The sequence below is a fragment of the Homo sapiens genome, chromosome 22, assembly GCF_000001405.40.
Source record: "Homo sapiens chromosome 22, GRCh38.p14 Primary Assembly".
NCBI lineage: Eukaryota > Metazoa > Chordata > Mammalia > Primates > Hominidae > Homo > Homo sapiens.
Window position 1 is genome coordinate 17513807 of NC_000022.11, and position 23509 is coordinate 17537315.

Consider the following 23509-nt stretch of genomic DNA (forward strand, 5'->3'; position numbering starts at 1 on the left):
TCTGAGTATTCCTAGATGCCATAACTTAACACTTCAGACTGCATAGCAGGCTGAATAGACTGAAACGTCCTTCATTGCTCCAAGCAAAACTTTGGCATCAAACACTAAAATTTCTTCTTTTATTCTTGGCAGTGTTTGAGCTTTCTTTTATTCTACTCTTCAGTTCGAACAAAAAGAAACCACAGTATTACAGAGACTGTAAACTATCTGTTGTGGTCCCCGATATCCTGGAGAAACCCTTAGTGGTGACATGACTTTTTAAGCATGGAGGCAGGGTTTCTGGCCTCTATTGGTCACTCAGCAGTCCAAACTTATTGCCTGATAAAAGACTTTGAGTTGTGACTTCTTGGGGAAAATATCAGTGAGGGGAGACTGTCTCGCTGAACTCAGGGATTCGGGATGCAGTGGTTATTTTTGTCCGGACACTTTGGTCATTGCTGTTGCTAGGGAGCTGTTTGTTGGGTGTTCGTCTCAAATGTGCTGCTAACGGGAGCAAGGGTGCCAGCAAGTCTGATACCTGCCCTCAGAGAGGGGAGCGTGTAAGGGCACAGCATGTTGGGCATTGCTTAAACCAGGGGTTCTGTTGAATCGTCCTTGACTGGATTTTAAAGTGTTGTTTCTCATTAGCTTCTCATTAAAAACCCCCTTGATTCTAGCAGGACTCTTATCTGTAAAGCATTCCTACACCAACATCTCTACCATTTGCAACTGACCCCACCTTTTAAAGAAAAAAATTGCAGCCTAAGACAGTATCACATTTTTGTAACTGTGCAGGTTTATTTTTGCTTGGCCAGTTGTCATTCATTTGGTTGTACTGGTTCTTTAATAGTTAAAACACTACAAAAAGTGAGTCCTGTTTTTTAGTGGTGTTTTCATCAAGACTTGCTTTACCTTGCATCAGCCTAGTGCTGAAAATCAGCAGAGGAATTTTAAAACAGACTTGTGGGCCAGGCGCGGTGGCTCACGCCTGTAATCCCAGCACTTTGGGAGGCCGAGTTGGGCAGATCACAAGGTCAGGAGATCGAGACCATCCTGGCTAACACGATGAAACCCCGTCTCTACTAAAAATACAAAAAATTAGCTGGGCGTGGTGGTGGGCGCCTGTAGTCCCAGCTACTTGGGAGGAGAATGGCGTGAACCCGGGAGGCAGAGTTTGCAGTGAGCCAAGATCGCACCACTGCACTCCAGCCTGGGCGACAGAGCAAGACTCCGTCTCAAAAAAAAAAAAAAAGAAAAGCAGATTTGTTGTTCACAACATAGATTTTTTTTTTCTCATATGTGTGTAATGTCATTTAGGTAAAATTGTAATTGTTGAGAATTCACATCAGATGGGAAACTGCTAAAATGGTAAAATGGTAACCCATGCTGATGAAAGAAAAAAGGCCCAGAGAAATGTGAGGCAGACATATTCAGCTAAGCAGGAGGTGTTTACAAGTGCAGGGCCGTGCTGGAGGAGGGGGCAGATTGTGGAGAAAGTGGTCTGAGACAGGTGGAGCAATAACTAGGGGGACAGATGGCATCCGCAAGGGCAGGAGCCACAGCTGGGCGTGGCCGGTGCAGGCTCCCACCTGCCCACCATGTCTTTATAGAAAATGTGGAGACTACATGTAGAAAACTGTAAAAGACCTGGTAATCCCACAACTCAGGAATCATTACTATTTACGTTTTTACGTATTTGCTTCAGGCTTTTCCTCTATGCATTTATTGCATATTGAGCATTATATTTAAGATACTTTGTGATCAGTATATTGAGACATTCATACATTTCAAGAATTGTTTAAATTCTGATACCCAGATTTAAGCGTGTGAACATGTGATGAGATTTTTAAGCATACAATAAAAGCTGTTTATAATTTGCTGCACTACCAACCTTTTTTTTTTTTTTTTGAGACGGAGTCTCGCTCTGTCACCCAGGCTGGAGTGCAGTGGCACAATCTGGGCTCACTGCAAGCTCCACCTCCCAGGTTCAAGCCATTCTCCTGCCTCAGCCTCCCAAGTAGCTGGGACTACAGGCGCCCGCCACCACGCCCGGCTAATTCTCTGTATTTTTAGTAGAAATGGGGTTTCACCGTGTTAGCCAGGATGGTCTCGATCTCCTGACCTCGTGATCCACCCGCCTTAGCCTCCCAAAGTGCTGGGATTACAGGCGTGAGCCACCACGCCCGGCCAGTACCAGCCTTAAATTAGTTACTTTGGGGGGCGTAAGTCAAATGGTTTAAACTGTGAGCCTGTTGAACATACCTAAGGAATACCTTCCTATATTATATATGTATGTGACTTCTTCGTGTAAAGGTTTTTTCACTTGAATTTCTATGTTACCTGGCTCTGGAAGTCACTACTCAGGAGCTTATGGTCCAAAGAGGAGAGGGACAGATAACCAGGATTGATCAAAATATAGAGATATATATATATGGATATATATCCATACACACACACATATTTACAGTTATGTACATACATATACACATTTATTATATTATATGTGTATACATTTTATATGTATATATACATATATACATGTATGTACATGCACCTGTGTGTACACATGGATGGCACAGCAGAAGGGAACACAAATCTCGAAGTGCAAGCCCTCAAGAAGCAGCATATTACGATAAATCCCTTCTTTAGAAAAGTATTGATATGGTTTGGCTCTGTGTCCCCACCCAGAGCTCATCTCAAATTGCAATCCCCACATGTCAGGAGAGGGGCCTGGTAGGAGGTGATGAATCATGGGATGGACTTCCCCCTTGCTGTTCTTGTGATGGTGTGTGAGTTCTCAGGAGATCTGGCTGGTGTTTTGTTTTGTTTTGTTTTGAGACGGAGTTTTGCCCAGACTGGAGTGCAATGGCACCATCTCGGCTCACTGCAACCTCCGTGTCCTGGGTTCAAGCTATTCCCCTGCCTCAGCCTCACGAGTAGCTGGGATTACATGCACCTGCCACCACGCCTGGCTAATTTTGTATTTTTAGTAGAGATGGGGTTTCTCCATGTTGGTCAGGCTGGTCTTGAACACCCGACCTCAGGTGAAATGCCCGCCTCGTCCTCCCAAAGTGCTGGGATTACAGGTGTGAGCCACTGCGCCCAGCTGATCTGGTTGTTTATTGTTTTTTCGGGGTTTTTTTGAGACGGAGTCTCACTCTGTCGCCCAGGCTGGAGTGCAGTGGCGTGATCTCAGCTCACTGCAACCTCTGCCTCCCGAGTAGCTGGGATTATAGGCGCCTGCCACCACGCCTGGCTAATTTTTGTATTTTTAGTGGAGTCGGGGTTTCACCATCTTGGCCAGGCTGGTCTCGAACTCCTGACCTCGTGATCCACCCTCCTCAGCCTCCCAAAGTGCTGGGATTACAGGCGTGAGCCACCGCGCCTGGCCAAGATCTGGGTGTTTTAAAGTGTGTGGCACATCCCCCATCGCACATGCGCACTTGCGCTTTCTGGCTCTATCTCTCTTGCTTCGCTGTGCTAAGACGTGCTTCCTTTCCCCTCACCTTCCGCCACGATTATAAGTTTCCTGAGGCCTCCCAGTCATCCTTTCTATACAGCCTGTGGAATTGTGAGTCAATTAAGCCTCTTTGCTTCATATATCCCAGTCTCATGTAGTTCTTTATAGCAGTGTGAGAACGGAGGAATACCGGTATCATTTCTACCACTGATACCACAGGTTAAGTTATATATTATGCCATCTTCGAGTAACACTTGAAGCCACACAATAAATGCAAAGGCATTACAATGAATCCCACTTAATACAAATAACTATATAGACCAACACTGCTCTACAAATTTAGCTTGGGTCTTTTTCTAATGGCCGGTTAAATACAGTTTTAATTTCGTAGGTTAATGGTGAAGGTTCATACACTGAAGCCAGTACGTATACCTAGCATTGCTTTTCAGCCTAAACTTATCCACGTACACAACTCAGTTACAAGGCTTGGCCTTAAAATGCTAGGAGAGCTTCTTAAAGTAGTTTTTACAGGTATTAAATTTCGTCTTGCACACCGAAGTCATCGTACATAACAGGGCAAAGTCAGAGTTTTTATCATTGCGTTTATTCTTCATTTACCTTTAAAACACTTCTCTAGCTGAATATTTAAAACAATAGGAAGCAGTGAGCATATTATGGTTACAGGCCTTCACTCAGTCACTGTTGCAGATAAAATGCCAGCAGTGAGTGTTACTCACTGGCCCAGTTAAGGGCTTTGACACTGACCACCTCTTCTGGGGAGATGGTGTTCCTTGCCCTCATATGCTTCTCCATTGTAATGCTGCCATCTTTGCTGATTTGCCTCAGAGCCCACCAGTTCTTTTTGATCATCCCATCAGTCTCTTCTACTTCCTTTCTACCAGGTAGAAGTTTTTCCAGCAAAGAGAGTTTATTAGGAGAGAGAGCCATTCTGAGGAGCGTTTACATAAATTAAGTGATTAGGCGACGCTTTGCATACGGTGTGCAGTAAATTGGCATTCCTTCATTTAGCACACACTTGATGTCCCCGTGCTTGACATTCTGACCTGGACCATGGTTCAGTCTTGAAAGCAGATGTTAGCGTTTGGGAGTCACACAGTGTTTCAGCCAGCTGTGTGTCTGTACACAGGAAAAGGTCTTCTCCCTGTCAAGTAAAAACAGCATGGTCTTTCTGTTCTACCCCAGTGGTAATGTTTCCTGGCTCCAGTTCTGGTCTTGGTATCCTTCACCACGGAATGTTATCTTCTGGCCATCTTTCATGCCTTTGTCAATATGGACTTCTAGAATCTCCTTCTCTGCAACTGTCTTCCTTCCATTGCAGCTGTCACGTCTATCTTTAGGACGGATGGTTTCCCCATGGGCTTGGCACTCCATGCACACAGATTGAATTTGCTGAACCATTCCAGGTCTTATTGATGAATTACTGTTTGCATTCAAGCACCTCAGCAGTTGGCACAGCAGGATCCTGCTCCCTTCTTAACACCTCTGCCTTCACATTTGTCACAAATCATATTCTTTTGCAGAGCCAGTTTTCTTTTTTCACCATTGGATAGATCTCCTAAGGCTACTGAGAGCTGATGTAGGAGTTTTTACCTCTCCTTTCTCTTAGTATCCTTCCTTCTCCCCCAAAAAAACTTAGCAGAGATGTCCATGGGGGAATGAGAACTGCCACCAGCCCCACCCTCTTTAATTGCCTGTCCTCCTTTGTCATAGAATTCCCTATTCTCTGCATCAGAGAGAACTTCTCAAGATTGAGAAATCCATTTAACTTCTCTCCTTCATTTAGATTCTTACCAGGGTATTACTTCAAAGCCATTTTTAAGCCTTTGTCAGTTCTTCGTGGGTAGCATTAGGTTTGACCCCCAAGATGTCATAGTAAGTGGTTTCTTTCACAATTTTCTGTAGCCAGTGAGTGGGCTGAGGCTGGTGGTGGGGAGTGGGGAGGGGCCTGTAGCTCTGTGCAGTCCGTGCAGCCACTGCTCCTCCACCTCACACCAAGCATCTGGAAAGTTCCCTCAGGTGTTTTGTGTTTTTTTTTTTTTTTTTGAGACGGAGTCTCATTCTGTCACCCAGGCTGGAGTGCAGTGGCACAATCTCAGCTTACTGCAACCTCTGCCTCCCGAGTAGCTGGGACTACAGGCGCCCGCCACCATGCCCAGCTAATTTTTTGTATTGTTAGTAGAGACAGGGTTCACCACATTAGCCAGGAAGGTCTTGATCTCCTGACCTCGTGAACCACCCACCTCGGCCTCCCACAGTGCTGGGATTACAGGCATGGGCCACCATGCCCGGCCCCTCGTGTGCTTTATATATTGTTTGTGAGTTTTGTGTTCGTGTTCCATTTGTTTGAGGGGAGCACTGTTAACTGATTGTGAGATATTACATATTAAGAATAATAAGTCATACTCATTACAGAAAAAGAATTATATATTAGTAAGATTTAGGTTATTGGCTTTTGGGTTTTTTCTCTTTCTCCCTCTCCACTGACTTAACACATGAACACTTCCTATGTTGGTTTAGATTATCAAGTCTTTTTTTTTTTTTTTGAGACATAATCTCACTCTGTTGCCAGGCTGGAGTGCAGTGGCACAATCTTGGTTCACTGCAACCTCCGCCTCCCAGGTTCAAGCGATTTTCCTGCCTCAGCCCCCCAAGTAGCTGGGACTACAGGCACACACCACCGTGCCCAGCTAATTTTTGTATTTTTAGTAAAGACAGAGTTTCACCATGTTTACCAGGATGGTCTCAATCTCTTAACCTCATGATCCACCCACCTTGGCCTCCCAAGGTGCTGAGATTACAGGCGTGAGCCACCGTGCCTGGCCAGATTATCAAGTCTTGAGTGACTTAACATTACAATTTCATGAGTAATTGGCTTGCATTTGCTCAGTCCTTATTAAAATGTTAGATTCTATTTAATGTACCCTGTACTGATGAAAGAAGAATATTTCACAGGTTTACACCTATTGTCTTTTGTTGTGGGGGAGAGTGGCCAGAATACACATAGGTAATTCTGTAAATAACTTTCATGTTTGATATATAGATATACCTGTTTTCCTCTCATTTTGGGGTCTGACATACATAAAGCATCACAATTCTCTTTCAATGAAATCTTCCCTTTGACAAGGCTCAGGTTTTTTTTTTATTGTAAGTAGGATTTTTAAATTATTATTATACTTTAAGTTCTAGAGTACATGTGCAGAATGTGCAGGTTTGTTACATAGGTATACATACATGTGCCATGTTGGTTTGCTGCACCCATCAACTCATCATTTACATTAGGTATTTCTCCTAATGCTATCCCTCCCCCAGTCCCCCACCCTCTGACAGACCCCGGTGTGTGATGTTCCCCGCCCTGTGCCCAAGTGTTCTCATTGTTCAGTTCCCACCTATGAGTGAGAACATGCGGTGTTTGGTTTTCTGTCTTGTGATAGTTTGCTGAGAATGATGGTTTCCAGCTTCATTCATGTCCCTGCAAAGGACATGAACTCGTCTTTTTGGGTTTTTTGGGCTGCATAGTATTCCATGGTGTATATGTGCCTCATTTTCTTATTCCAGTCTATCATTGATGTCCATTGATGGACAATTTGGGTTGGTTCCAAGTCTTTGCTATTGTGAATAGCGCCGCAATAAACATACGTGTGCATGTGTCTTTATAGTAGCATGATTTACAATCCTTTGGGTATATACCCAGTAATGGGATCACTGGGTCAAATGGTATTTCTAGTTCTAGATCCTTGAGGAATTGTCACACTGTCTTCCCCAATGGTTGAACCAGTTTACACTCCCACCAACAGCGTAAAAGCGTTCCTATTTCTCCACATCCTCTCCAGCATCTGTTGTTTCCTGACTTTTTAATGATCGCCATTCTAACTGGCGTGAGATGGTATCTCATTGTGGTTTTGATTTGCATTTCTCTGATGACCAGTGATGATGAGCATTTTTTCATGTGTCTTTTGGCTGCATAAATGTCTTCTTTTGAGAAGCATCTGTTCGGCCGGGCGCAGTGGCTCACGCCTGTAATCCCAGCACTTTGGGAGGCCAAGGCAGGAGGATCACGAGGTCAGGAGATCGAGACCATCCTGGCTAACACAGTGATACCCCGTCTCTACTAAAAATACAAAAAATTAGCCAGGCGTGGTGGCGGGCGCCTGTAGTCCCAGCTACTCAGGAGGCTGACGCAGGAGAATGGTGGAGCTTGCAGTGAGCCGAGATGGCGCCACTGCACTCCAGCCTGGGTGACAGAGCGAGACTCCATCTCAAAAAAAAAAAAAAGAGAGAGAGAGAGAAGTGTCTGTTCATATCCTTTGCCCACTTTTTCATGGGGTTGTTTGATTTTTTTTGTTGTTGTTAATTTCTTTAAGTTCTTTGTACATTCTGGATATCAGCCCTTTGTCAGATGAGTAGATTGTAAAAATTTTCTCCCATTCTGTAGGTTGCCTGTTCACTCTGATGGTAGTTTCTTTTGCTGTGCAGAAGCTCTTTAGTTTAATTAGATCCCATTTGTCTGTTTTGGCTTTTGTTGCCATTGCTTTTGGTGTTTTAGTCATGAAGTCCTTGCCCATGCCTATGTCCTGAATGGTAATGCCTAGGTTTTCTTCTAGGGTTTTTATGGTTTTAGGTTTTACATTTAAGTCTTTAATGCATCTTGAATTAATTTTTGTATAAGGTATAAGGAAGGGATCCAGTTTCAGCTTTCTACATATGGCTAGCCAGTTTTCCCAGCACCATTTATTAAATACGGAATCCTTTCCCTGTTACTGGTTTTTGTCAGGTTTGTCAAAGATCATATGGTTGTAGATGTGTGGTGTTATTTCTGAGGCCTCTGTTCTGTTCCATTGGTCTATATCTCTGTTTTGGTACCAGTACCATGCTGTTTTGGTTACTGTAGTGACAAGGCTCAGTATTATCTCCTCTCTTTCCCCTGCCCATGTGAGTCAACTGATACCTTATGGTGTTTTTTTGGCATCAGTATACATCTGAAAAGAGCAAAGGCAAATAGTTTTGTTTTACTTTGCTTTGTTAACTGCAGTTTCATCATATCTCAGCTGGGTAAAGATGTTGCTGGAACAATTAAGAACCTTGGAAGTGGGGTGGAAGTGAGAGCAGGGATTATGGCAAAATTTAGGGAAGGTGCTTGACAGACATTTATTCGGGAAGCAGTGGCCAGAGTTGCAGTCTTCGGGACAGTCGTCCTTGCCAAGTGTCCATAGCATCCCCTTTTCAGAATCAACATCCACCATATTGAAACTGGCCTGCTCTGGCTATAGGATAAAGATTTTATGGTTGTTATTTAATTCTGTTTGTTACACTGAGACACCTTATGGGTACAGTGTTAACGTATGCAGTTTTTATTTTTGTCCCTCCTGTTCATTCCAGATTTTTACCTGTAAACTCTTCTAAAGTCAGGCTCATAGATTTTTGAATGGTGAAAATGACATTGAGAAGTCAACTAACTGGGCCACGCGCCATGGCTCACGCCTGTAATCCCAGCACTTTGGGAGGCTGAGGTGGGCGGATCACCTGAGGTCAGGAGTTCTAGTCCAGCCTGGTCAACATGGTGAAATCCCATCTCTACTAAAAATACAAAAATTAGCTAGGCGTGGTGGTACACACCTGTAATCTCAGCTACTCGAGAGGCTAAGGCAGGAGAATCACTTGAACCCAGGAGGCAGTGTCTGCAGTAAGCCAAAATCGTGCCACTGCACTCCAGCCTTGGTGACAAAGCAAGACTCCATCTCGGGGGGAAAAAAAAAAGCCTGCTATCTAGGCAAGATCGTCTCTAAATTTGGAGTCAAATGAGAATCTAAACCAGTTTGTTTTGTTTTGTTTTGTGTTTTTGAGATAGGGTCTATCTCCCAGGTTGGAGTATTACGCCTGTAATCTCAGCACTTTGGGAGGCTGAGGTCAGAAGTTCGAGACCAGCCTGGCCAACATGGCGAAACCCCATCTCTATTAAAAATACAAAAATTAGCTGGGCGTGGTCGCAGGTACCCTGTAACTCCAGTTACTTGGGAGGCTGAGGCGAGAGAATCACTTGAACTGGGAGGCAGAGGTTGTAGTGAGCCAAGATCATACCATTGCACTCCAGTCTCACAGAGTGAGATTCCATCTCAAAAAAAAAAAAGGAACTGTGTTCTGTTGAGTGACTGTCTTTCATCCTAGTATACTTTTTAAAACTTCCTAGCGCTTTTTAAAACTTACCTTTATCGGCTGGGCACGGTGGCTCACACCTATAATCCCTCCACTTTGGGAGGCTGAGGCAGGTGGATCACGTGGTCAGGAGATCAAGACCATCCTGGCTAACATGGTGAAACCCCATCTCAAGTGAAAATACAAAAAATTAGCCGGGCGTGGTGGCAGGCGCCTGTAGTTCCAGTTACTTGGGAGTCGGAGGCAGGAGAATGGCGTGAACCCGGGAGGCAGAGCTTGCAGTGAGCCAAGATCGCACCACTGCACTCCAGCCTAGGCGACAGAGCGAGACTCTATCTCAAAAAAAAAAAAAAAAAAAAGAAAAAAAAGCTTCCCTTTATCAGATGTTAACTCTAAAGAAACACATCTCTGAACTGCCCCAGTTTCTCTTCTCTCCAGTAAATTATCCATAAGATTGTCTCCTAAATACCACAAATTATATAAATTGTTGGACACAAAAGTTTTACCATTTTGAATCTCCCTTATGTTTTAACATTTATGTATATCCATGTGTATTTTACAGATAACAAAATCAGCTTTTCGTGATATAAAGTCCCTAGCTAATATTATTTGTTGAAAATACTGAATTCAATGAACTGAGAGCAAAGAGCTTATCTTGCATGATTGTGTACTGACCGGATGTGCTCATTGGCTCCTCACAGGAGACTCCTGTGCTGACCAGAATAGAAAAACAAAAGCGCAAAGAGGAGGAAGAAGAGCGTCAGATTCTTCTAGCAGTGCAGAAGAAGGAGCAGGAGCAGATGCTAAAGGAAGAGAGGAAACGCGAGTTGGAGGAGAAGGTCAAGGCAGTGGAAGGTATGTGCAGTGTCCGCGTGGTCTGGAGAGGTGCATGTCTGTCGACCAGCCGTCCTGTAGCCAGAGCCAACTCAAGCTAAGTCCTGCCATGCATCCAAGTTGTTTCCGGCAATTTCTTTTTTTTTTTTTTTTTTTTTTTGAGACGGAGTCTCGCTGTGTCGCCCAGGCTGGAGTGCAGTGGCGTGATCTCAGCTCACTGCAAGCTTCACCTCCCGGGTTCATGCCATTCTCCTGCCTCAGCCTCCCAAGTAGCTGGGACTACAGGTGCCCACCACCACGCCCGGCTAATTTTTTGTATTTTTAGTTGAGACGGGGTTTCACTGTGTTAGCCAGGATGGTCTCGATATCTTGACCTCGTAATCTGCCCGCCTTGGCCTCCCAAAGTGCTGGGATTACAGGCATGAGCCACCATGCCTGGCCCTTTTTTTTTTTTTTTTTTTTTTTTGATACATAGTCTCACTCTGTGGCCCACCTGGAGTGCAGTGGCACAATCTTCACTTACTGCAACCTCTGCCTCAGCCTCCCGAGTAGCTAGGACTATAGGCGTGCCACCACACCCAGCTAATGTTTGTATTTTTAGAGATGGGGTTTTACCATGTTGGGCAGGTTGGTCTCAAACTGCTGACCTCAAATGATCTTGCCGCCTCGGCCTCCCAAAGTGCTGGGATTACAGGCGTGAGCCACTGTGCCTGCCCACATTAAGGATTTTAGAATTAATAAAGAAATGAGGGGTCAGGCACAGTGACTCATGCCTGTAATCCCAGCACTTTGGGAGGCCAAGGGGGGCGGATCACATGAGGTTGGGTTTTCGAGACCAGCCTGACCAACATGGAGAAACCCCATCTCTACTAAAAATACAAAAAATTAGCTGGGCGTGGTGGGGCATGCCTGTAATGCCAGCTACTCAGGAGGCTGAGGCAGGAGAATCGCTTGAACCCAGGAAGTGGAGGTTGCGGTGAGCCAAGATCGTGCCATTGTACTCCAGCCTGGGCAACAAGAGTGAAACTCCATCTCCAAAAAAAAAAAAAAAAAAAAAAAAAAAAAGAAAGGAAGGGAGGGAGGGAAAAGAAAAGAAAGAAAGAAATGATGGCTGGGCACAGTGGCTCACGCCTGTAATCCCAGCACTTTGGGAAGCCAAAGTGGCCGAATCACTTGAGGTCAGGAGTTTGAGACAGCCTGGCCAACATGGCCAAACGTGGTAGCTCACGCCTGTAATCCCAGCTACTCAGGAGGATGAGGTGGGAGAATTGCTTGAACCCCGGAGGTGGAAGTTGCAGTGAGCCGAGATCGTGCTACTGCACTCCAGCCTGGGCGACAGAGCAAGACTCTGTCTCAATAAAAAAAACAACCCTTAGTGCATATAATCTACAGGTTTAGCCTGTGTCATACTATGTAGTATATCTCACTTGTAAGATCTTCCATAATTGGCTATGTCCAGTGCCACATTTAAATTCCTCAGGACATAATAACTGGCTTTTATTTGTTTATATTTTTTAGTGGAATTGTGTTTTTTTATTTAATAGGGTCCTTATTGGGTACACCTGTCATTTTAATTTATATAGGCAGGTCCAAAACTCATTTTTATGGCTCAGTTTCTGTAATGTAAGATTAATAATGCCTGTATTGTAGTCCCATCTACAGAAGTCACAAATAAAATTAAATCCTAGGAATTAACCAAAGAAGTGAAAGAGCTCTATAATGAAAACTATAAAACATGGAGGAAACAAATTGAAAAGAACACCCAAAAACTGGAAAGCTTTCTACGTTCATGGATAACAAGAATCAGTATTCTTAAAATGTCCATAGTACTCAAAGTAATCTACAGATTCAATGCAATGTCTACCAGAATACCAATGACATTCTTCACAAAAATAGAAAAAAAAATCCTTTAATTTATATGGACCCACAAAAGACCCAGAATAGGCAAAGCTATCCTAAGCAAAAATAACAAACCTGGAGGAATTACCTGACTTCAAATTGTATTTCAGACCTGTGGGGACCAAAACAATATGGGGATCTGGCATAAAAACCAACACACAGACAAATGGAACAGAATAGAGAATCCAGAAACAAGTCCACACACGTACAGCGAACTCATTTTCAACACACGTGCTAAGAACATACACTGGGGAAAAGAGTCTCTTCTACAAGTGGTGCTGGGGAAACTGGATATCCATAAGCAGAAGAATGAAACTAGACCCCTATCTCCTGCCACATACAAAAATAAAATCAAAGTGGATTAAATAATTATATCTAAGGCCGGGCGTGACGACTTATGCCTGTAATCCCAGCACTTTGGGAGGCCAAGGCGGGTGAATTACAAGGTCAAGAGTTCAAGGCCAGCCTGGCCAAGGTGTTGAAACCCCGTCTCTACTAAAAATACAAAAATTAGCCGGGCACGGTGGCAGGCACCGGTAATCCCAGCTACTCAGGAGGCTGAGGCAAGAAAATCGCTTGAACCTGGGCAGCAGAGGTTGCAGTGAGCTAAGATTGCATCACTGCACTCCAACCTGTGTGACAGAGTAAGACTCCATCTCAAAAAAAAAAAAAAAAAAAAAAGAATTATATCTAAGACCTCAAATTATGAAACTCTACAAGAAAAAACGTTGGAGAAACCCTCTAGGACATTGATTTCAAGCACAGGCACCCAAAGCAAAAATGGACAAATGGGATCACATCAAGTTAAAAAGCTTCTGCACAGCAAAGGAAACAACCAGCAAAGTGAAGAGACAACCCACAGAATGGGAGAAAACATTTGCAAACTGCCCAGTTGACAAAGGATGAATAACCAGAATGTAGAAGGAGCTGAAATAACTCTTAGGAAAAAGTCTAATAATCGGATATTAAAATGGGCAAAATATTTGAATAGAGATTTCTCAAAAGAAGTCATACAAATGCAGACGAGGCCAGGCATGTTGAGTCATGCTTGTAAGCTCAGCACTTTGGGAGGCCAAGGCTGGCAGATTGTTTTAGCACAGGAGTTCAAGACCAGCCTCGGCAACACGGTAAAACCCCATCTCTACAAAAAATACAAAAATTAACCGAGCATGGTTGTTCATACCTGTAGTGCCAGCTACTTGGGAAGCTGAGATGGGCAGATAGCTTGAGCCTGGGAGGTCCAGGCTCCAGTGAGCTGAGATCATGCCACTGCACTCCATCCTGGGCAATAGAGCGAGACCCTGTCTCAAAAAAATAAAAATAAATTAAAAAACAAGCCAGGTGTGGTGGCTCATGCTTGTAATCCCAGCACTTTGGGAGGCCGAGGCGGGCAGATGACTTGAGATCAGGAGTTCAAGACCAACCTGGCCAACATGGCAAAACCCTGCCTCTACTAAAAATACTAAAATTAGCTAGGCATGGTGGCACACGCCTGTAATCCCAGCTACTCAGGAGGCTGAGGCAGGAGAATTGCTTGAACCTGGGAGACAGAGGTGGCAGTGAGCAGAGATCAAGCCAAGACTTCATTCCAGCCTGGGCAATACAGCAAGATTCTGTCTCAAAAAAAAAAAAAAAAAGCAAACAAGCTTATGAAAAAAGTGCTCAGTATCATTGATCATCAGAGAAATGGAAATCCAAAACTATTATGAGATATCATCTTACACAGTTAAAATGGTTTATACCCAAAGGACAGGCAATAACAAATACTGGTGAGAATGAGAAGAGGAAATCCTCATATACTGTTGGTAGGAACATAAATTAGTCCCCCGCTATGGAGAACAGCTTAGATGTTCCTTAGAAAACTAAAAAGAGAGCTACCATAAAATCTATTAATCCCACTGCTGGGTATACACCCAAAAGAAAGGAAATCAATATATTGAAGAGATAACTACACTCCCATATTTTTTGCAGCTCTGTTCACAATAGCCAAGATTTGGAAGCAACCTAAGTGTCCGTCAGCAAATGAATGGATAAAGAAAATGTGGTACTGATACACAAGGGAGTACTATTCAGCCATAAAAACAGAAAGATGCAGTCGTTTGCAACAACATGGATAGAACTGGAGGTTATTATTTTAAATGAAATAAGACAGGCACAGAAAGACAAACATTGGATATTCTCACTTACTTGTGGGATCTAAAAATCAAAATAATTGAACCCGTGGAGATAGAGGGGAAAAGGATGGTTACCAGAGGCTGGGAACGATAGTGGAGGGTTGGGGAGAGGTAGGATGGTTAATGGGTACAAAAAAAATAGTTATTATGAATGAATATGATCTGGCATTTGATAGCACAGCAGAGAAGTATGGCTTTTTTTTTCTTTTCTTTTCTTTTTTGTTATTTTTGAGACAGAGTCTCACTCTTTTGCCCAGGCTAGAGTGCAGTGGCATGATCTGGTCTCACTGCAACCTCCACTTCTCAGGTTCAAGTGATTACCATGCCTCAGCCTCCCAAGTAGCTGTGATTACAGGTGTACACTACCACACCCGGCTAATTTTTGTATTTTTAGTAGAGATGGGGTTTTGCCGTGTTGGCCAGGCTGGTCTTGAACTCCTGGCCTCAAGTGATCCATCTGCCTCAGCCTCCCAAAGTGCTGGGAATACAAGCGTGAGCACACACCCAGCCAGAAGTACTATTTTCATTCCAGTGGTGAGAAGGTGGAGAGTAGACAAATATTGTGGGATAATAGTGGTGAGTGATCTGAAGTAAAATTAGGCAGGTTTACAGGTAAAGAGTGACATGGCTGGGCGTGGTGGCTCCATCTGTGGTCCCAGCTACTTGGGAGGCTGTGGCAGGAGGACCCCTTGAGCGCAGGAGATCGAGGCTGCAGTGAGCGCTGATTTCCCCTGCTGAACACAGCCTGGGTGATAGAGCAAAACCCTGTCTCAGACAAAAAAGAAAGCCCTCTCTGAAGATTTGACATTTAAATAAAGTGAATGAGGTTGACCCGTGAGTGCCTGAAGCGGAAGGCGCAGTGCAGACAAGAGCAGAGGCACGGAGGCAGGGATATGCAGCAGGAAGTCCAGGGCGAGGCTGCAGCGGAGGGGAGCAAAGCAAGCACAGGAAGGCTGGCTGGAAGTCCCGGCGCGGCTGGAGCGGAGCAGAGCAGAGCAAGCACAGGAAGGCTGGCTGGGCATGAATTGAGTCCTACCAGGTAGCCCAGGGTCGCATTGGGATGGGCTGTGCAGACCTTGTTAGAAGGGTTAAATGGGCTGGGCGCCGTGGCTCACGGTTGTAATCCCAGCACTTTGGAAGGCCGAAGTGGGCGAATCACGAGGTCAGGAGATCAAGACCATCGTGACTAACACGGTGAAACCCCGTCTCTACTAAAAATACAAAAAATTAGCCAGGCGTGGTGGCACATGCCTGTAGTCCCAGCTACTCGGGAGGCTGAGGCGGGAGAATGGCGTGAACCCGGGAGGCGGAGCTTCCAGTGAGCCGAGATCGCCCCACCGCACTCCAGCCTGGGCGACAGAGCAAGATTCCGTCTCAAAAAAAAAAAAAAAGGAAGGATTAAATGAAAACAGGACAGTCTCTGACACACATTTAAAGTCACAAATGATAGTTTTCTTTGTTTGAGACAAAGTCTCGCTCTGCCTCCCATGATAGTTCTTATGGAAGGAATTTTTGTAAGCCATAAGATACTTACAATAACCTTTTCCAGACTTTTTAGTAGCTTCCAACTACAAAAAAAGAGAAATAATCAATTATGTACTAATCAGACACTTTTAAAAATTACAACAGTTTATTCAGAGAAACAAGCTTTGTGTGACATTCTAAGCGGATTTTATTCTGCAGGTCCTTTTAACATAATGAGTAATATTTGTGTTGGGAATGACTGAGAAGAAATTTCATAATGATGTGAAGATCTACCTGTAAATAGTTCCTCTGTCGTATGCTGGTATTTATATTCTAGCATCTCAACAGTGCTGATGGTCACTCATCTTGGAGTTCCCTGAATTTTTTTTTTTTTTCAAAACTCCTGTAATGTTACATTACCCATACTTTTGTTGTTGCTGCTGTTGTTGTTGTTTTGAGACGGAGTGTCGCTCTGTCGCCCAGGCTGGAGTGCAGTGGTGCCGCGCCCGGCACATGACTGCATACTTTCAAGGAGAGGACTCAGAGCTTTTATTTATTTAAAGAAACTTGAAAGGAGGAAAGTGGATTAAGAAAAAAAAAATAAGGCCAGGCGCGGTGGCTCACGCCTGTAATCCCAGCACTTTGGGAGGCTGAGGCAGGCAGATCACGAGGTCAGGAGATTGACACCATCCTGGCCAACATGGTGAAACCCCGTCTCTACTAAAAATACAAAAAAAAAATTAGCCGGGCATGGTGGCGTGCACCTGTAGTCCCAACTACTCGGGAGGCTGAGACAGGAGAATTGCTTGAATTCGGGAGGCAGAGGCTGCAGTGAGCTGAGATCATGCCACTGCATTCCAGCCTGGGCAACAGAGCGAGACTCTGTCCCCCTCAAAAAAGAAAAAAAAAAACAACAGAAGGCAAAAAGTGAAACAGCCAAGTGTCCACCAGTGGATAAAAGGAGAACCTGAATGCAGTATACACTTAGAATGGGGTGTTATTCAGCCTTAAGAGGGAAGGAAATTCTGAAACATGCTACAACATGGATGAACCTTGAAGGTATTACACGAAGTGATATCAGCAGGACACACGTGGACAAATGTTTTGTACTAGAGGCTGAGGTGAGAGGGAAATGGGGAGTCAGTGTTTAACGTTACAGACTGGAGTGATGAAAAGATACTAGAAATGGATACCGGTGATGGCGCCACAACATTACTTACACACTTAATGCTACTGAATTGTATGCTCATTTGGGTGATATGTCTGGGTAACTAGAATGAGATGAAGCCGGCCATGACGAAAGAAGTAACTTGTAGTTAATCAGTTGGGGTCCAGCCTTGAAAACCAAAACTACACTAGCTACTTCAGCAGGGAAAACATCACATGACTCTTTGGTAAAATGGGAGTTAGAAAACAAAAAAAAAGGTTAAAGGGATCCCCGTGGTGACACAGACGGAGGAATCGGGATTGTCAGAGGTGGGGGGCTGCAGCCCCACTGCTAGCACTATGAAGGCAGGCAAACTCCCGCTGCCAAGTGCGGCTTCGCAGATGCAGGACCATCCATCCTAGGATGAGTTGAACGGCATCAGCAAGCAAATGGAAGGAAATCGCTGTCTTCCTCAGCGTGCCTCCCGTGGTCCCTCTGATGCTCCCTTTGGTAGAATATAAAACCAGCAGAGAAGGGAGTTGTATGTGCAGGATCCCAGCCCCATTATCACAAAGCAGAACATGAAAATTGGATTTGCAACCATCAGAAAAGGCTTCATAACAGATGCAGGTGGCAGAAAACATGAAAGGTCCTGTATGTGTTCACTGTAAGTTCTAGAAGGAAAGAATCAGTATAGTAAGGCCAAGAGAATGTTCAGAAACAATGATTGAGTAGTTTTTTGGTTTGATGAAAAACCCTGATCCTCAGATACAGAAAGCAAGAAGAGATATAAACTGGATATAAATTATATGTGGGCATATGGAACTGAATTATAGAACATTCTGTTCCCTAAAACAACCAATGTGGAAAAGGTGGATTACCCTGAGAGGATGTTCTTAATAGTGATAGCAGATAGGAGCAACAGCAGACCTCAGGGGACGATGGGATTGATGGCCAGGTGCAGTGGCTCATGCCTGTAATCCCAGCAGTTTGGGAAGCCAAGGCAGGAGAATTACTTGAGTCCTGGAGTTCAAGACCAGCCTGGGCAACATAATGAGGCCCCATCTCTACAGAAAATCTTAAAAATTAGCCAGACATGGTGGTGCATGCCTGTAGTCCCAGCTACTCGGGAGGCTGAGGTAGGAGGATCACTTGAGCCCAGGAGGTCAAGGCTGCAGTGAGCCGTGGTTGTGCACAGCACTCCAGCCTGGGCAACAGCAAGACCCTGTCTCAAAAAAAGGAAGGGGTGGGTAGTGGGTTGCATTTTGAATTTTTTTATTAGTTCCTTAGGGCTACCATAACAACCTACATTAACCAGGTGGCATAAAATAGCAGAAATTTATTCTCTCATAGTCCTGGAAGTTAGAAATCCAAAATCTAGTTATTGACAGGGTTTCACTCTCTAAAGACTGTAGGTGAGAGTCTGTGGCCTTTCCAGCTTCTAGTAGTTTCAGGCCTTCCTGGGGTTTTCTGCAAACTTAGAATAATAGAATGAAACTTCCTCAGCCAATATCTTAATAATCTAGGCAGACCTTCTACTTGATGGGGAAACATTAGAAGTGTTCCCTTTAAAGTCAGGATAAACACAAGGATTTCCTCTATTGTTTCCATTTAATATTGTATTGTAAGGATTTAGTGTCTACAACGAAAAATACATAGGTATGTATACATATTTGAGGTGGTGTATGACTTGAAACTCCAAGAAAATCACCCAGGAAACTATTATAGCTAAGAAATTCACCAAGTAGGTATATTCATTATTATTCTTTTTTTTTTTTTTTTTTTTTTTTTTTTTTTTTTTGAGATGGAGTCTCACTCTATTACTCAGGCTGGAGTGCAGTGGTGCGATCTCGGCTCACTGCAACTTCCGCCTCCCGGGTTCAAATAATTCTCCTGCCTCAGCCTCCAAAGTAGCTGGGATTACAGGCATGTGCCACCACGCCTGGCAATTTTTTTTGTTATTTTTAGTAGAGATGGAGTCTCACCATGTTGGTCAGGCTGTTCTTGAACTCCTGACCTCAGGTGATCCACTGCGCCTAGCCGCTCATTATTATTCTATAAATGTCAACATGAACAATTTTATTAAAAGATAGCATGACCCGGCCAGGCGCGGTGGCTCACACCTGTAATCCCAGCACTTTGGGAGGCCGAGGCGGGCAGATCACGAGGTCAGAAGATCAAGACCATCCTGGCCAACTTGGTGAAACCCCGTCTCTACTAAAAATAGAAAAATTAGCTGGACATGTTGGTGCACTTCTGTAATCCCAGCTAGCTACTTGAGAGGCTGAGGCATGAGAATCGCTTGTACCCAGGAGGCAGAGGTTGCAGTGTGTTAACATAGCGCCACCGCAGCACTCCAGCCTGAGCAACAGAGTGAGACTCTATCTCCAAAAAAAAAAAAAAAAATTATGATAGCTGGGCACAGTGGCTCACACCTACAATCCCAGCACCGTGGGAGGCCGAGGTGGACGGATCACTTGAGCTAAGGAGTTGAAGATCAGCCTAGCTAACATGATGAAACCCCGTCTCTACTAAAAATACAATAATTACCCAGGCATAGTGGCATATACCTGTAATCCCAGCTACCCGGGAGGCTGAGGCACGAGAATTGCTTGAACCTGAGAGGCAGAGGCTACAGTGACCTGAAATCACACCATTGCACTCCAGCCTGGGTGATAGAGTGAGGCTCTGTCTCCTAAAAAAAAAGAATCTGTGGATCTCAACACACTGTTCCTAAAATTCATATAAAAGAGCAAAGGGCCTTTTTTTGTTTGTTTGTTTGTTTGTTTGTTTGTTTTTGAGATGACGTTTCACCCTTGTTGCCCAGGCTGGAGTGCAATGGTGTGATCTCGGCTCACCGCAACCTCCGCCTCTGGGGTTCAAGCAATTCTCCTGCCTCAGCCTCCCAAGTAGCTGGGATTACAGGCATGCACCACCACGCCTGGCTAATTTTGTATTTTTAGTAGACAGGGTTTCTCCATGTTGGTCAGGCTGGTCTCGAACTCCCGACCTCTGATGATCTGCCTGCCTCCGCCTCCCAAAGTGCTAGGATTACAGATGTGAGCCACCATGCCCGGCCGAGCAAAGGGCATGAAAACTTGCAAAAACAATACGATAGGGTCAATCATTATGCCACATAATGAGATCAAATCTGCAGTGATTGAGAGAGAATGGTATTGGCATAGAGATAGACAATGAGACCAGAAACAGACCTTGAGAGAAAACATGGGTTTTTCAGAAACAGTGCCAGGCGTGGTGGTGTGTGCCTGTAGTCCCAGCCACTCAGGAGTCTGATGTGGGAGGATCCGTTATGCACAGGAGTTCAAGGTTGCAGTGACCTATGATCCCAACAGAGCGAGACCCCTGTCTCTTGGGAGAGAACAGTGGTACCAGGACACTTGTTCATTTATAGGGAAAAAATTTACATCCCTGCTCCTTATATAAGTTCCAGATACACTAAAGGCCAGAACCTTTCTGAAGAAGTTGTAGATGGGATAGAAAAGAATTTTTAAGTACAAAAAGCAAAAACCATAAGGAAAGAGAGAGAACTGACATATTTGATTACTTTATTTATTTATTTATTTATTTTTTGAGACGGAGTCTCACTCTGTCGCCCAGGCTGGAGTGCAGTGGCACAATCTCAGCTCACTGCAAGCCCCGCCTCCCGGGTTCACACCATTCTCTTGCCTCAGCCTCCCGAGTAGCTGGGACTACAGGCACCTGCCACCACGCCTGGCTAATTTTTTTTTCTTTTTTTTTTCTTTTTTTTTGTATTTTTAGTAGAGACAGGGTTTCACTGTGTTAGCCAGGTGGGTCTCCATCTCCTGACCTCGTGATCCACCTGCCTCAGCCTCCCAAAGTGCGGGGAGCTGAGATCATGCCATTGCACTCCAGCCTGGGCAACAAGAGTGAAACTCTGTCTCAAAAAAAAAAATGCCAGGTGCGGTGGCTCATGTCTGTAATCCCAGCACTTTGGGAGGTCGAGGCAGGTGGATCACAAGGTCAGGAGATCAAGACCATCCTGGCTAACACAGTGAAACCCCGTCTCTACTAAAAAATACAAAAAGTTAGCCAGGCGTGGTGGCGGGTGCCTGTAGTCCCAGCTATTCGGGAGGCTGAGGCAGGAGAATGACGTGAACCCAGGAGGCGGAGCTCGCAGTGAGGCGAGATCGCACCACTGCACTCCAGCCTGAGCGACAGAGTGAGACTCCATCTCAAAACAAAACAAAAAAAATTAGCCAGGCGTGGTGACAGACCCCTGTAGTCCCAACTACTCAGGAGGCTGAGGCAGGAGAATCGCTTGAACCTGGGAGGCGGAGGTTGCAGTGAGCTGAGATCGCACCACTACACTTTAGCCTGGGCAACAGAGTGAGACTCCATCTCAAAAAAAAAAAAATTCTGTAACCTCTTTGGAAATGATGGACACCCCTTTGACAGTGCCTGATGAAGTTTACATATATACTTTTTACTCCTATCTGGTCATTCTGCTGCTGGGTTCACATCTTAGAGAATCCTTACACACATGCTTGAGAAGACATGTTTTAAAATAACTTTGTTGATACTATTGTTTACAAACTTCTAAAACTGGAATCAAGGAGAATAATGGATTGTTAAGCTGTGGAATAATCATACCATGAAATACTATATTAACATTAATAAGACAAAATGTTTAAAGTTTGACAGGTTGGGTGATACATGCGTATTCATTAATTTACAGTTTTCTTTATGGTTGAAATTTTTCTTTTTTTTCCAGAAAAAAAAAAAATAGTTGGTTTAGAGAACTTTCTTAGAAGTCGAAAAAAAAAATAATTTTTAAAAATTTAAAATTTTTCTTAAAATTTGGTGATAGCAAACTTCTTTTCATTGATTAAAGGAGATATAGATTAGCATCACAAATGAAAATAATTTAGGAACAAAAACTCAAGTCAAATGCAACCCAACAGGGATCGTGTCTTGCTCACAGCAGTAGTCAGGCAAAGATCCTATCCCTTGTGGAACAGAAGCTAGAATTGGGGAAGAAAGTAGAGGCTCAGGCCAGGCACCATGGCTCACTCCTGTAATCCCAGCACTTTGGGAGGCTGAGGTGGGCAGTTCACCTGAGGTCACGAGTTCGAGACCAGCCTGACCAACATGGAGAAACCCCATCCCTACTAAAAATACAAAATTAGCTGGGCGTGGTGGTGCATGCCTGTAATCCCAGCTACTCGGGAGGCTGAGGCAGGGGAATCGCTTGAACCCAGGGGGCAGAGGTTGTGGTGAGCCGAGGTGGCGCCATTACACTCCAGCCTGGGCAACAAGAGCAAAACTCCGTCTCAAAAATAAAAATAAAAAAGAAAAGAAAATAGAGGCTCTTGCTGGCTTCTCCTCCCTTCCATCTTTGTGCCTTGCTGTCTGGCAGTCTCATTTTTCTCCTTGCCTCTTTTCTTTGGCCCCTACCTCCTTGTTCCCTGCAAGTGGTAAGTGCCCCATCAGGCTGGGAATGGAATGCCAAGTGTGCTTCTCATGGCTGTGGCTGGGAGCCAGGAAGAAAATCATCATCCCTGCCTTCCAGCTCCTTGCCAATCCCAGCTGGCATCTTTCCCCTCTTCCCAGCCAAAATCCCACTGGCGGCAGGGCCTGCTGCCTGATCTGGGGGTGGGGTGGGGAGCAGACCATTGCTTGCATGGATGCCTTCATAAACGCAGAACGGCAAGAGCTGGGACGTGCGTTTAAAATCCTGTGTGTGTATGGACTGAGAGTCTGGTCCTAAAAAAGGATTTGCGGATGTTGCTTTTTTTAAGTAAAAGATCAGAATGGCCTCAAGTAATCCGAGAAGATAGTCCTCATTCAACCTTGTACTTTTTCCTTTTTCTTCGACTGCCATTCTTCTGTTTTCTTCTGCCTTACTCCCTCCCCTCCTGCCCACCCTGTGCCTGCCCTGCCACCTTCATCTCCCACCTTGAGCTCAGTGTGAGTGAGGAAACAGGTTCAATTAGTTTACCCTTGTCTTAAAGCATTCCATCTGTAGAAACATCCTAATTACCAAAAAGAGGGTGGCACAGGGAGCAGAAGTTGCTTCATAATCCTGCTTTGGTGGCCTGGTTCTTCCTTCTCTCACAGTGATGAAGGAACACGCCATGTCAGTGTCTGGAGTGTGCTTAGCTCACTCAGCCTTTGTGTTCATTGTAGATCGAGCGAAGAGGAGAAAGCTCAGGGAAGAAAGGGCATGGCTGCTGGCTCAAGGAAAGGAGCTCCCTCCAGAACTTTCCCATCTGGACCCCAATTCCCCCATGAGAGAGGAAAAAAAGACTAAAGACCTGTGAGTATTTAGTAACAACAACAACAGCAGTAGCAACTGGTAGCATTTATGAAGCATTCAGGCACTTGCCCCATGTCATCCTT

General features: G+C 44.6%; 1 protein-coding gene and 1 pseudogene across 12 annotated transcripts in view; one reads left to right on the forward strand and one right to left on the reverse strand.

Annotated features, from left to right (window-relative positions):
• CECR2 (CECR2 histone acetyl-lysine reader) overlaps positions 1 to 23509 on the forward strand; it is a 198203-nt gene that overhangs the window by 153858 nt on the left and 20836 nt on the right. For all 12 annotated transcript variants that reach the window (NM_001290046.2, NM_001290047.2, XM_017028785.2 and 9 more), the window contains 2 exons: positions 10312 to 10465; positions 23297 to 23426. In NM_001290046.2, coding sequence (NP_001276975.1) covers positions 10312 to 10465; positions 23297 to 23426 — 284 coding nt within the window. The remainder of the gene's footprint in view (positions 1 to 10311; positions 10466 to 23296; positions 23427 to 23509) is intronic.
• Positions 3829 to 5471, reverse strand: DNAJA1P6 (DnaJ heat shock protein family (Hsp40) member A1 pseudogene 6; annotated as a pseudogene).